This window comes from Homo sapiens, chromosome X (assembly GCF_000001405.40).
Source record: "Homo sapiens chromosome X, GRCh38.p14 Primary Assembly".
NCBI lineage: Eukaryota > Metazoa > Chordata > Mammalia > Primates > Hominidae > Homo > Homo sapiens.
Genome location: NC_000023.11, coordinates 45,943,711 through 45,958,883, shown reverse-complemented (window position 1 = coordinate 45,958,883; position 15,173 = coordinate 45,943,711). Strand labels below are relative to the sequence as shown.

Here is a 15,173-nt window from a genome sequence, read left to right as displayed (position 1 = left end):
TCATATTGCTTTCCACCACCCAACCCTCTGTACACCACTACTGTTCAGTAGTCATTTATTGATGAAAGAAGGCATCCTGAAGGTACATTAAAATATGACTCCCCATGGATTAGGGATTCTCAACTATTATATTTGAGAAGTTACCCTTTTATTTTCTAAATTCGCCCAACAAAGTCCTCTGGTCAAGGATGCTTCGTGCCTCTGAAATACCTTGCGTATCATGAATAGACAAAGCCCCTTCTCTTGTGGAGTCTGCATGCCTTGTATAGGGGAGAGGCAAAGTTTTTAGATCACCAGACTAGTAATGGAGCAGGGAGTAAAGGGGGATGAAGAAATTTATGGAAACTCTTGAGGAGGAACCATGCTGGTGGTGTCCTCCTACATCCCTTTACATTTAGAAGAGTCATAGATAGTCAGTCATGAATATCCATCAGATACCATTCTATCTTTGGTAGAGTTGAGAGATGGATAGATTTATCACAAAGTAGTAGATCAGGGTCCTTCCTTTTATTTTTACAGGTTTCAAATAGATATAATGCACTGAATTCAAATCAAAGCTTCATATTCCCCCCACATCACTGATGTATTAATATTTCTGTTTATCTTATTAGCATTTACAGCCTGTTAATCTTTTTTGTGGGTTGCATTAGCAAACAGATCCATGTCAAAATCAAAATGAACCGTGGCTTCCCATCTCACTCAGAGTAAAAGCATGTAAGGCCTTATACCATCTCTACCCCTTTCCACCAAAACAAAGTTTGCACACACGCACACACACACAACACAACTCTTTCCCTTCAACTCTCTCCCTCTCTTACTTCTGCTATTACTAGGTACATTGCCTAATCTGCTGTTCCTTGAACTTGCCAGGCATAATCCTGCCTCAGGGCCTTTGCACTAACTGTTCCCTCTGCCTAGAACACTCTTCTTCCAGATATCTAAATGGATCACTTCTTCAAATTTTTGCTGAAATGTCACCTCAATGAGGTCAACTCATCAAAGTTAAAGCTCCCCTCCCCGCCCCACATACACAATTCCTACTCTCTTCCCTGCTGAATTTATCTCTATAGCATGCATCATCATCTAATAAACTATTTTTCTCCCCTGACTGCAATGTAAGCTGCACGAAGGCAGGAATTTTTGTCTATTTTGTTTACTGCCATGTCCCTAGCATAGAGAACATACCTGACCAAAAAAAAAGGTACTCATTAAATATCTGTTGAATGAATAAACAGATAGGAAAAGAAAAGGAAAAAATAAAAGAAGAAAAGAGAAGAAAAAAAAACACTTCAGAAGATATTCCAGATTCAAGAAGATACAGCCAAATAGTGGTCAACACACCAGTTTTCTTCCTGCTCTCATTTTTGCTTCCTCTGATGGGCTAGGTAAGGAAGATAAGAATAAATAAGACATTTGTAAGAGCACTTAAAAATTCCAAAGGGCTATTTTTTTTTTTTTTTGAAATGGAGTCTCACTTTGTCGCCCAGGAGAGCAGTGGCACAATCTCGGCTCACCGCAGCCTCTGCATCCCAGGTTCAAGCCATTCTCCTGCCTCAGCCTCCTGAGTAGCTGGGATTACAGGTGCACAACATCATGTCCGGCTAATTTTTGTATTTTTAGTAGAGACGGGGTTTCATCATGTTGGCCAGGCTGGTCTCGAACTCCTGACCCTAAGTGATCTGCCCTCCTCGTTCTCCCAAAGTGCTGGGATTACAGGCATGAGCCACTGCACCCAGCCCAAAGTCCTTTTATATACAATTTCTGGTTTGATCAAAATGTTGGACTACATTCCTGGAGACGAGGTCTACTGGTAGAATGTGACAATTTTATGGTTGCATTTTAGTTCTCATTTAAACGAACTAAATTCCTGCAAGAAACAGCCCATTTACTTATCAGAGAGCCAAGACCTTCCACTTATTTTGTTTTAAGGAATGTGTGTTCCTCACTGTTTTCTATTTAGTCCTGCCTTTATGCCTTTACTCGTGCTGTTCCTGTCATAAGAAAGGCTTTCCCTGTCTATCTATCTAAATGCTATGCATTCTTCACGGTCCATGTTGACAGGGTGGAAGAGGAGCAACATAGTAGTATGCATTAATAAATAAATTCTATTATTCTTCAATTACAAATTTCACCTGCATAACCTGCTTCTTGTAATGTGAAGAGAACTTTTAAATATAGCATTCACTGGGAGGGAAATGCTTTGTCAGCTGTTTTCCCAATGCCCAGTGGTTTCACCATGAACCATTCCTGGCACATGGTGGGTACTCAATTAATATTTGATACTTGAATAAGCCAATGATTCGGAGTCTCTGTATAGTCAGAATTCAGCTTAATTATGCCTTGAACCATTAAGAAATGAAACTGCATCAGAGCTCATACACTGAGTTAGAAAGCCAGCACAATTCTATGACAAGGCATATTTTCATATTCCCACATCTTCTCAACATACAGCCTCCTAATTGCCTTCTGCGCTACCCCACAGTATGCACATAATGCCATGCAATGGGCTTGCTTTGTGCAGATCCCCTTTATGCGTAACCATGGCAATGCTGTCTACTTCATACTTGAAGTGTCTGGAGGACTATGGCTGTGAATGTTAACTCACTGTATGATGACTTAATGACTTGCTTTGCATGCAGAAGGGCCCAGTACATTTTGGATTTTTTAACCATCATAATCAGAACACTTCCTCTGTTTCTTCTGTGAAGTAAAACACCTATTTACCAAATAGGCTAGAATAAAAATTCTAGACTCCCCAAACTGACATATGAAGACAATGTCTGGCTCTAAAATCTGAGGATAAAAGACTCAGGGATTGTCCTCAGAGCTTCTATTATCATCTGATATCTAGACATTGGCAGTGGAATTCCTGTCACCATTTTGCACAGAAAGAATCACGTTGTGGCAATGCTAAAAGTACAGAGGATACAAATGTAGTGCACCCTGTACATTTTGTCTCTCACAGGTTCTAGCTATGACATGTGGCCAAGTTCTCCATGCAAGAAGGCATATTTCCCTCCAGGGTTTGCATTTATTTTTCATGTGAATATTTGGATGCTTCCAGAATCCCACCCATATGCCACTAATCTGATCAATTTTAAGCCAACTCTTCCTTTACTGTTAATTGGAAATAGAAAGTATGGTGAAATACTGAATAAGGCAAGCCATCTTTTAAAACATACACACACACACACACACACACACACACAAACACACACACATTTCCATATTCTGACAAACTATACAAGATTTTGAAATCAAACCCACATCTCGCTTTTGATCTGTTCATAATTATGTCATTATGTAAACACTTTGTGAGAAATTCATAGATAGTTTATGTTAAAAGTAACTCAAATTTCAATTGCATTTTAATTAGTTTCTTTATAAACCTATTGCAGGTAAATTTTCATAAAAGTTTTTATAATTTCCTTTAGGAAGAATATACAGAATGTGGAAGTAGTCTAAAACTCAGATCAAGAACAAAACTGGTATGTTTTAGATTAACTTTAAAAAGTAATAAAAGAAGTCCAAGTTAGGGAAAGTTGACACATTATTCTAAACTTATAGCATCTTCAAAGAAAGGTGAAATACAATTTGGTTCATTGTTGTGTCAGTCTTAATTTTTACTTGGAATATAGCTTATGTGTTGCAATTCAGCACCATATAGAATCTAAATTCTTCACGGCAGAATTTCTTTTTTTAACTATATAACTTACCTTCTTTAAAACATTGTGTATATTTATGATTCTTTGTATATATGGTTCTAGAAATGGTGATTCATACTTTAAAATTTTTCTTAATTTTGTTTCTTATTCAGTGAGAACATTTAAAAGAATAATAATATGGCTTATCGTGTTTGGCTTCTAAAATAAAGATTTTCACTGACAAAGACATTCTAGCCCACAGCTGGGTTACCAAAACAAACAAATAAGAAGCACAAATAGGTAACTTATTCACTGCTTTAAAAAAAATGATTTTCCATTATAAGATGAAATGTCAAAAAATAATGAGGGGATAACATCAGTGAAAATGCTGGAGTAAGGAACTCTGAAATTTTGCTCCTCCATAAAAGCAATGTGAAAACTAACCAAAATTGTTAAAATCAACTTGTTCAGTACTCTGGAAACTAACCAACGGCTTTAGCCACATGGGAAGTGTTTAGTCAAGAAAAACAGCTGCATCTCAATAAAAACAGTAAGCTTTATGGCATTTACACTTACACTAGTCCTGTCCTCTGTTTCCATGCTCCACACCACCATGAAAAATAACAGACTGCCTTCCCAGTACTAGAGAAAGTAGAGCAGAGCTAGAGATCTTTCAAAGCTTCACTCAGAAATAGGAGTCACCACCAAATGGCTCCTTGGAAGATACAACTTGAAAGGCTTGTCATTATTAGAGCTCACTGAAACTCTCCTAATGCTAAACATTTCTACCCAGATGGTGGAGGGGCATTTCTCAAATGTTTTAACATCACAGTTGCCTGAAGTGATGGATAGCAGTTAAGGCAAACAATAAACCAGCCAGAAAGCTTAAGAGAAAAAGCTGAGGAATGAGATGCTTGTAGGGGTTTTGAAAAGTTTCAACATATTCTTGGGAATCTAAAAGGTCACAAATGTGTGTAGGGCTTTTCAGAAGCTCAGGAGAGACTTACAATGACTGTAATCGTTCATCTCTGACTGAACATAAGGCTCTGCACAAGCAGGAAGTGAAGGCTGAAACAGAGTTGTAAACTGATTGGTAGAGTGTTGAAGGCATGCCCCAACACACACATACGGGGCCCCTATGACTGGAAGACTTGAAGACTTTTTGGTTCTAGGCATTTAAGAAAAATGCTGTTTAATCATTATCTGACCACTAAGCCAAGTAAGTGGAGACTTTAGTGGCCACAAATGCAAAGATAAAGAATTTACAACATTACTTCATAAAAAGTAATTAAACAGCTACTTAAAGCAGCAACAAGAAACCCTGGGAGGGTAAGGGACTGATTTTCAGAGTTCTCGCATTGTATTCTTTGAAATGTCCAGTTTTCAACAAAAGAATTAGAAGATGTGCAAAGAAACAAGGAAGTATGGCCCACACACAGGAAAATAAGCAACCAATAGAAGCTGTCACTGAGGAAATCCAGACATTGGACTTACCAGGTAGACTTCAAAATGGCTATTTTAAATATTTTCAAAGAGCCAAAGGAAAACATGCCTGAAGAACTAAAGGAAAATATGAGAAAGTTGTCTCACCAAATAGAAAATAAAAAGAGACAGGAATAATAAAAAGAAACCAAATAGAAATTCTGGAGCTTAAAAATTACAATAACTGACAGGAAATAATCACTAGGGGAACTAATAGCAGATCTGAGCAGGCAGAAGAAACAATCAAAGAACATAAAGTGCGATTACATTATCCTTAGCAAACTAATGCAGAAACAGAAAACCAAATACTGTGTGTTCTCACTTATAAGTGGAAACTGAATGATGAGAACACATGGACACATGGGGAGAACACCACAAAACGGGGCCTGTTGGAGGGTGGGGAATGGGGGTAGGGAGAGCATCAGGAAGAATAGCTAATGGATGCTGGGCTTAATACCTGGGTGATGGGCTGATCTGTGCATCAAACCACCATGGCACACGTTTCCCTATGTAACAAACCAGCGCATCCTGCACATGTACCCCAGAACTTAAAATAAAAGTTGGGAATTAAAAAAAAGAAAGAGAGAGATCAATGAAAATTATCCATTCTGAGGTATAGTGATAAAAAAAAAGAATGAAGAAAAATGAGCAGAGTCTCAGAGACCTGCTCTATGATGTGGGATATCATGAAGCATACCAATATATGCATAATGGGAGGGCCAGGAGGAAAGAAGAAAGAGAAAGAAATAGAAACATATTTGAATAAATAATGGCCCCAAGCTTTTCAAAATGGTTTTAAAACATTAATCTGTGCATCCAAGAAGCCAACAAACTTCAAGTAGAATAAGCTCAAAGAGACCCACACCTACAAACATTATAATTAAACTATTGAAAGCCAGAGAAAAGAGAGAACCTTGAAAGGAGCAAGAGAGCAACCACTCATCACATACAAGTGATCCTCAATAAGATGAACTCATCAGAAACCACAGAGGCCACAAAACATATTCAAAGCACTGAAAGAAAAATTATAAACCAAAATTCCTATTTGTAGCAAAACCATAATTAAAAAAACGTAGGAGTAATTAAGACAGTCCCAGATAAATAAAAACTGAGAGTTTGCCACTAGCAAACCTGCACTAAAGAAATATTGGCCAGGCACGTGGCTCACTCTTGTAATCCCAGCACTTTGGGTGGCTGAGGTGGGAGGATCGCTTAAGCTCAGGAGTTAGAGACCAGCTTGGGCAACAGAGTGAGACCTCGTCTCAAAAAAACAAAAACAAAAAAAAAAAAAAAAAAAAGAAAGAAAAAAAAAAGAAGAAGAAGAAAGAAGAAGAAATGCTAAAGGAACTTCTGAAAGGACACTAGACAATACCTAGGATTTACACCTAACTTACTTGAGGAAATAAAGACCCTGTCACTCCAAACAGGCAGCTCCACTAGGTAGTATGTTCTCTGGGCAGCCACCAGGGGCCCGACCACCCCTGACAGGACTCCTAGGCTAGGCTTCACTTCTCAGGTGCTCCAAGCCCTTCTAATAGTACTTTGGTGGTTGACTTGGAGTCATCTTTCAAGGCTTGCTTTGTATCTCTGGTGAGTCAGGACTATATCAATGGCACTGATCAGGAAGAAATTCAAACTGGTGTTAATCAGTGTATCCAGAAGTTTCCGGATACTGCAAGAGAGACAATGTTTGCTTTGTTTTGTTTTTCCTAAAAAAAGATTGCAATTATCTGTCCAGAAACCAGAGCAAGTTATCAAAGAGGATATCTCAGAACTATGGAATGAATTACAACATTAAGATGCACTGGTCCAGAAGCATTTGACAAAGCTGAGGCATTGGCAGCAGGTGCTAAAGGACATCAACATGCAGAACAAAAGCCAGCCGACATCCCTCAGGGCTCCTTGGCCTACCTTGAGCAGGCATCTGCCAATATCCCTCCACCTCTGAAGCCAACCTGAGCAAAGGGCAAAGGCTGTCAGCCTGAGAGAGGGCTGGTGTGCAAGCTTTGCCACACATTCCTTCTTGTGGACTTGGCATTTGGGAAGAAGTCTTTGCCAGAGAAGGTGTTGATTTTAGTTTTCTGCTCCCACCAAAAATTTTTCCACTATTGTTACAAGCTGTTAATTTCTTGAGTACTCTATAAAATGTCTATAGCTTGGGTAAACCAAGTAAATTCTTTTTTCGTCTAGCAAAGTTTAGAGTGTTAGTATGATGATACCGACTCTTTTTTATGGTTGTTGTGCTTGTTTTTAAATTTTTGTATGACTTATCATCTTTTCATGTGTGTTTCCCATTGTTTGTTTGATCTGAGGGAAAAATTATAATAGCCTGAGAATCAGAGGAAGAGGATTTTTGTTGTAGGCCTCTTATGATAGTTACCCTTCAGTGGTAATGTAGAAAAATATGTAAATTTGCTCTGTTTCAAGACTTCAAACTACCTCAAGAAGAGGAATCTAATGCAACAATATTTGTAATGCTTCCAGAGCTCTCAAAATGAGGATTTTTTGTAAATAGGTCAGAAAAAGATTAAAATATCCTGGGTTAGTGTAGTAGTATTACAGTAGGAACCTTAGGTTGATGCTGACTTTTATTTGGCATAAGTTTATATTTTGTGTGCTGTTTATTTACTTTTTTGACAGGGAGGGATGTAGTGGGAGCTGTGATATGCTAAATGTTGTTATGTTCTGCAGCAATGAATTAGTTTAAGTAATGAGGCAGACCCTGTTTTCAGCAGTGTGACAATTGGGGCATAGGTGAGCTATGAGGGGCTGAAGCTTGCTCTGATCATCTCTTTCTGTTTTGAGTTTTGTTTGCTTGTATAATTTTTGTTTTACATTACGGGAGGTGAGACATTTTTCCATTAAGGAAGATTGTTGCTAATGGATTTCTTGATTAAAAACCTAAATAAACTGATTAAGTTTTAGGCATTCTTTCAAAGGGGTTCTCGGTGCAGAGATTGGGGACGATTCTATTTGGTGCTTAGTGAAAACATTTTGAATTAATGTATTGCCAATTCTTTATTAAATTCAAAAGCTTTTTTGTCAAATAAATAGCAAGTTTTCAAAAAAAAGAAAGAACACTAGTTAAGATAATTACATAGTTAAATATAAAAGACAGTATAAACATATTCTTTGTCATAACTTTTTTTCCCATATATGATTCAAAAGACAACTCACAATGCAATACATATAAATGTAAGCTGATGGGCACACAATGTATGAAGATGTAATTTGTGACAAAAACAACATAAGGGAGGGGGGAATGATACTATTTAGGAGCAAAGTTTTGTATACTATTGAAATTAAAGTTGATCTTAATCTGAACTAGATTATTATGAATTAAGATATTATTGATAACACCCAGGGTAACAACTAAAAATTGCTCAAAAATATATAGGAAAAGAAATGACAAGTGAATTAAAATGATACTGTATGTCTCTATTTAACACAAAAGAAGATAGTAATGGAGAAACTGAGGAATACAAAAAACACAAGACATTGAAAACAAATAGCAAAATTATAGACATAATCCTATTTTGTTATTCATTACATTAGAAAAAATATATTACATTTTCCAATTAAAAGACATAAATTGGCAGAACTGGTTTTTAAAACATCATCCAACTATATGCTGCATACAAAAGATATACTTTAAAGATACAAAAAGGTTGAAAATAAAAGGATAGAACAAAAGATTCCGTGTAAATAGTAAGCAAAAAAGAGCTGGAATGGCCATGCTAATATCAGACAAAATAGATTTTAAGGCAAAATTGTTACTAGAGAAAAAGGAGGACATAGTATAATGGCAAAAGGATCAATTCAAGATATAGCAATTATAAACTTATATGCTGAATTTTGAGGGTTCTAACAACAGAGCCCTCAAATTACAGAAGTAAAAACTGACAGAATTGAAGGGAGAAGGTGGCAAATCAACATTAATAGTTGGAGACTCCAACACTCTACTTTTAATGATTGATAGAACAACTAGACAGAAGATTAGCAGAAAAAATGGAAAACTTAACAACACTACAAACCAACTAGACCTGACAGACACCATAGAACATTCTACCCCACAATGGCAGAATATATATTCCTCTGAAGTGCACATGGAATGTTTTCCAGGATAGATCGTATATTAGGCTGTAAAACAAGGGTTAATGTGTTTAAAATGTTGTAATCATACAAAGTATGTTTTCTGACCATAATGGAATGAAATTAGAAAGCAATAACAAGAAAAGATGGGAAATTAACAAATATGAGGAAATTAAACAAAAATAATCTTTAATAACCAATGGGTCAAGAACAAAACACAAGGAAAATTAGAAAATACAGTGATATGAATTAAAATCAAAACATGGAAAAAAAACTCATGGGCAGCAAATATGTGTTCAGAGGAAAATTTATAGCTGTAAACACTTACACTAAAAAAGAAGAAATATCTCAAATCAACAACGTAAACGTCTGCCTTAAGAAGTTTGCTGAGAGTTTCTGTATACGTGGATGTAGGATTTTGTCAAAAGCTTTTTCTGAATTTGTTGATATAATCATACAACTTTTCTTCTTTAGCCAGTTAATGTGATAGACTACATTACTTTTCAAGCATTTAACCAGCCTTGCTATTTAGAGTTAATCCTAGTTGGTTGTAGTTAACATTATGTCTTAAGTACCCTTTTCAACTGGATATAGCTAGTCCTTTTATAGATCAGTGGTTCTCAAAATGTAGTCTTCAGACTGGCAGAATCAGCATCACATGGGAATTTGTTAGATATGCAAATTCTTGGGCCCTAGTCTAAACTTATGGAATTAACAACTCTGGGGGTGGGGTGCAGCAATCTGTTTTAAGAAGCCCTCCAGGTGATTCTGATGAACACTAAGGTCTAAGAACCACTGGCATAGATGGAGTGAGATAAGCAGCACAGGCAAATTCTACTATCTCTTTCCTACTTGACTTTGAACTCTAGTATCTGTTTCCAAAGACCACTGTAGAGCCCAGTGGTTTTCAATCCTGGATGCACATTGAAATCTTGTAGAGAAGGCTCCAGGGACTCTGATTTAATTGTTCCAGAGTATAGCCCTTCCTCATTAGCACTTTAACAAAGGTTAGTTTTTCAGATTAGGTGAGGACTCTTTGAACCACAGTTCAAATGAACTGCTTAAAAGGTCTGAGATGGAGCCCAGCTATCTGTTTGAAGCATCCCAGACCACATTTTGTGGAAAACTACTCTAGAGCAATGATTTTAAACTTTTTGACCGTAACTATTAGGAAGAAATATGCATTAAATGCATGGTGACTTAGCAGACACATACTTGTATGCATGCATGTATGTGTGTATATATATGTATGTGTATGCCTACATATATATACACATATACAAAACCCTCCTGAAATCATATTTATCTTTACTGCATACTATATACTTTGGTATATTCTATTATATTTCATATTTTAATGATTGAATGTTGACTTTGTAACCCAGTAAAGAGTTACATTGACTACTTTGAAAACAGCTGTACAAGATTTACCCAAAATATTCAAATCCATCTATGTGATGTAAGTGACACCATTCTAACAGGATGGGGGCTCATAAAATTCAATGGGTAGGAGAGGGAAAGAATGGTAGTGATCTTTCATGGGTGGTCAAAGGCCGAGTAAATGTTCATTGAAAGAGAGGGCAGACTTGGGAAATGGCTCCCCCAACTCAAAGGGAAATTATTGTGAGGAAACACCCCTAAGAGGCCATATTTTTGCAATTTTCTAAGGGGAAAACCCTGTATTTGCTTTTTAGGGTCTTTTCACTGCTAAATTTCAGATGTTCAGAGTAATAGAGAAGTTATGAGTCTGAGTAGCTCAGGCTTTATGATGACCAAACCCTAACTTAAAAATGTAAAATGAGCAGTGGCTTATTTTTATGAATACCATTTTATTGCCACTCAACTTCTTTCCATTTTAGACTAAAAATATTCAATTGAAATTAATAAAACAAACAACATGCATTTGTTGGTAAGAAACTGAGAGGAATTATTCCAAAGCTTGCACATCTGGTTGTAACTTAAAAGATTTAAAATATTACTAGGCTTCATTGGTGATTCAGTATTGTAATTACCCATGAAAAGGTATGTTAGTGCTTTATTGTGTGAATTAATTACCAATCCCATGAGACACCACCTGCAAGCCCATATTTAATGCATCTCTGTTCCCATTAGCAACATTCATGCAAACAGAGCATTCAGGGAGTAAATCTACCAAGTCATTTTTTGTAGTATTAATACAAGTCACCATAGTTTTCAGTTTTTAAATAGAGATGTTGAAGCACTACACCTACTGATTGCCCTTGTATTACAGCTGTATGAGTCAATAATGATAAGTAAGACCTTAAATCAGGTGAGCCTCCTGGATATCCACACTATTATATCATTCTTGCCATTGGCCTAGACTAGTAAGAAATAGAGGGAAAGCATTCTATTATGTATGTTGATATACGGATTTGAAGTCGCCAAAATACCTTGGGGAGGAACAATATGATTTTTAAAAACTCTTCAACTTTCCTTAGTATACTATCCTGCTTAATATTAATAGCAGTACCAGCTCTTCTGTTGGTTTGGTCAGATCAGTTAAAAATTCCAAAAGATGGCCTGGTGTGGTGGCTCATGCCTGTAATTTCAGCAGTTTGGGAGGCTGAGGTGGGCAGATCACGAGGTCAGGAGATGGAGACCATCCTGGCCAACATGGTGAAACCCCATCTCTACTAAAAATACAAAACTTAGCTAGGCGTGGTGGGGCGTGCCTGCAATCCCAGGTACTCAGGAGGCTGAGGCAGGAGAATGGCTTGAACCAGGGAGTCGGAGGTTGTAGTGAGCCAAGATCACACCACTCCACTCCAACCTGGCAACAGATCAAGACTCCATCTAAAAACAAAAACAAAAACAAAAAAAATCCAAAAGACCCTGATTGTTGCCAGCAGATGAAAAAAATACATGGGCTTATAGTAGAAGGATTTATAATCCTTTGGGTATATGTTTATTGCAGCACTATATGTTTATTGCAGCACTATTTACAATAGCAAAGACTTGGAACCAACCCAAATGCCCATCAGTGATACACTGGATAAAGAAAATGTGGCACATATATATCATGGAATATTATGCAGCCATAAAAAAGAATGAACTCATTTTATGCAGTCATAAAAAAGAATGAGTTCATGTCCTTTGCAGGGACATGGATGAAGCTGGAAGTCATCTGAAGCTGGAAGCAAACTGACACAAGAACGAAAACCAAACACCACATGTTCTCACTCACAAGTGGGAGTTGAACAATGAGAACATATGGACACAGGGAGGGGAACATCACACACCAGGGCCTGTTGGGGGCTGGGGGGCAAGGAGAGCGAGAGCATTAGGACAAATACCTAATGCATGTGGGGCTTAAAACCTAGATGATGGGTTGATAGGTGCAGGAAACTACCATGGCACACGCATACCTATGTAACAAACCGGCACGTTCTGCACATGTATCCCAGAACTTAAAGTAACATTTTTAAAAAGGCCTTTTTAATAAAGTAACCTTTGAACACCTCTCTAAAGAAAATGAAGAATGAAACAAGTGGATATCTAAGAAAAGAACTTTCTTAACAGAGGGAATTACAAGCGCAAAGGTCATGAGGTAACAGTGTGTGCGATGAGTTCAAGGAATGGCAAAAATGCCAATGAGTCTGGAATGAAGAGTTTGAGGGAGACAGTGGTAGGAGATTAGGTCAAAGAGTTATCAGGGGATCAGACCATGCAGGCCCTTGAGGATCATAATAAAATCTTTGGGTTTTACTCTGAGATGGGAAACCACTGGCAAGTTTTGAGCAGAAGAATGACTTCAAATCACCTGGCTTCTGTGTGGAGAACAAGCTGTAGGGGGTTTGGGGGCAAGGGTGAAACCGGGAGACAGGTTAGAAAGCTACAGGAATTCAAGTGAGAGATAATAGAAGCTTGGATCTGGGTAGTGGTGATGAAAAAGCTGATTAGTTACCAGAGCCTGGATTGACTGTTAGGGTAAACCAGTTTTTAAAAATAAAGCTAAGAAAATCCCTTCCATTATGTCTATGCTATGTTCATCCAATTCCCCACAGACATTTTCAGATTTGCCTGGATTTTAAGGCACAAGAGACTATTTCTTGCTAGTGCTGGTACACACACTTAAATGCACTGAGCTAACTGAGAAGCTATTGCCGTGATGCCTTTCAAGATAACCAGAGCAGTGGTCTTTTGGGTTTAACAGAAAAGCACTACATTTGATAACATAATGTTGGAAAACCAAAGTCTCAGAAGATTACTATTAGGCAATAATGTTGAAGAATCTATTGCTGGCTAAATCTGGAAACAAACTTTGTTGGGCACTTGTAAAAAAAAAAAAAAGGAACAAAATGGCCTGCACTACACCCCACCCTATAAAAAGATCTTGATATTTTGCATTTTTTTCCATATTTTTAAACTAAGACATAATAAAGTAACAAACTCACATTTCTTACCAGATTATAGTTACCAAATACTGACCCTAAGAGGAACACTTTCACCAAACAACCATATTCAGCACATTTTCAGTGTACCCAGTGCATGTGAGGTATTGATTAATAATGCAAGAAGCAGTCAAAAGTCAGTAGTTTTCTCAGAACCTCTTTCAAGGTGGGCCTGTTCTGAGGTCAAGAAGGCAACTTCCACGTCCTTGATACCAACTTTCAAATCTCTCTCAGACCCAGGGATAGAAATTCAAACTATCTGGCTTTAAAGAAGAGGACAAGCCGAGAAAGAAAGAGATAGCCAGGCTACAGAAGATTTGAGCAATACTATCAAACAATTAGACCTAATTGCCATGTATAGAACATGCCAACTGAAACAGCGAAATATACTTTCTATTCAAATGCACCAAGAAAAACCATATCTGGGCTATAGAATCAGCTGCAACAAATTGAAAATAAAATAAATCATACATTGTATGTTCTCAGACCATAATGGAATTAAACTAGAAATCATTAACAGGAAGATATCTGGTACATTCCCAAATATTGAAAATTAAACCACACACTCGTGGGAGATTAAAAAATATTTTGAACTAAATAAAAAAGGAGATACAACATATAAATCTGTGGGATGTAGCTAAAACAGTGCTCTTAAAGGGAACAAGAGCTGGCCAGTAAAGTAGTATTAAAAGTAATGGCAAAAACCACAATTACTTTTGCACCAACATAATAAAAGCAGATTTTATTCAGGAATGACTGCAATAAGGAAACAGAGATCTCGGTTTAGAACCGATCTTGGTTCTGAATACAACAAGGAAAAGTGGGAATTTATAGCCAAGGATCAGCATGGAGGGTTGGAGGACAAAAAATTACTAAGAGTAGGGCAATTCTTGCTAAACTGACCTAACAGGATTCTTGCTGAAGGCAGGCCAGGGTGATCATATATCACCTGGGGCATGATGGAGGATGAGGAATTTGACCAGATATTGAGAGTGATCAGATCTCAAGGGATTCTCACTAAACTAACTCAGCAGAATGCTTGCTAAACTTCTGCAAAGACACAGTTTGGAGGCTCAAAGGTCATAGTGTAGCTGAGAAGAAGGCTCAGAGGACCCCACTTAAAGTTTGGTCAAGGAGAGAGGCTTTGTCAATGTTTAGAGGGAAATTTATAAAATTAAGTAAAAAATAAAAATAATAAAATATGTTAAATTGAAAACAGAAAAGCAATATCATGAAACTAAAATCTGGTTCTTTAAAGAATAATGAAATCGATAAGCCTCAAGTGAGACTGACCAAGAAAATACAAGGCACGAATTATCAATATCAGGAATGACAGTGGGGAATTTCACTAGAGACTACACAGACATTAAAAAGATAATAAGAGAATACTATGAATGTCTCTATGCCCATAAATTAGACAACTTAGATGAAATTGATTAATTCCTTGAAAGCCATAAACTATAAAACATTATTGAAGAAAAATATATAACCTGAAGGGTCCTATATCTATTAAAGAAATTTTGTAGTTAAAAATCTTCCAAGA

The 15,173-nt window shown here is 37.1% G+C and overlaps 1 pseudogene; it reads left to right on the top strand.

Annotated features, from left to right (window-relative positions):
• On the top strand, positions 6,542-7,282 carry MED28P4 (mediator complex subunit 28 pseudogene 4; annotated as a pseudogene).
• Positions 7,283-15,173: the final 7,891 nt, after the last annotated feature.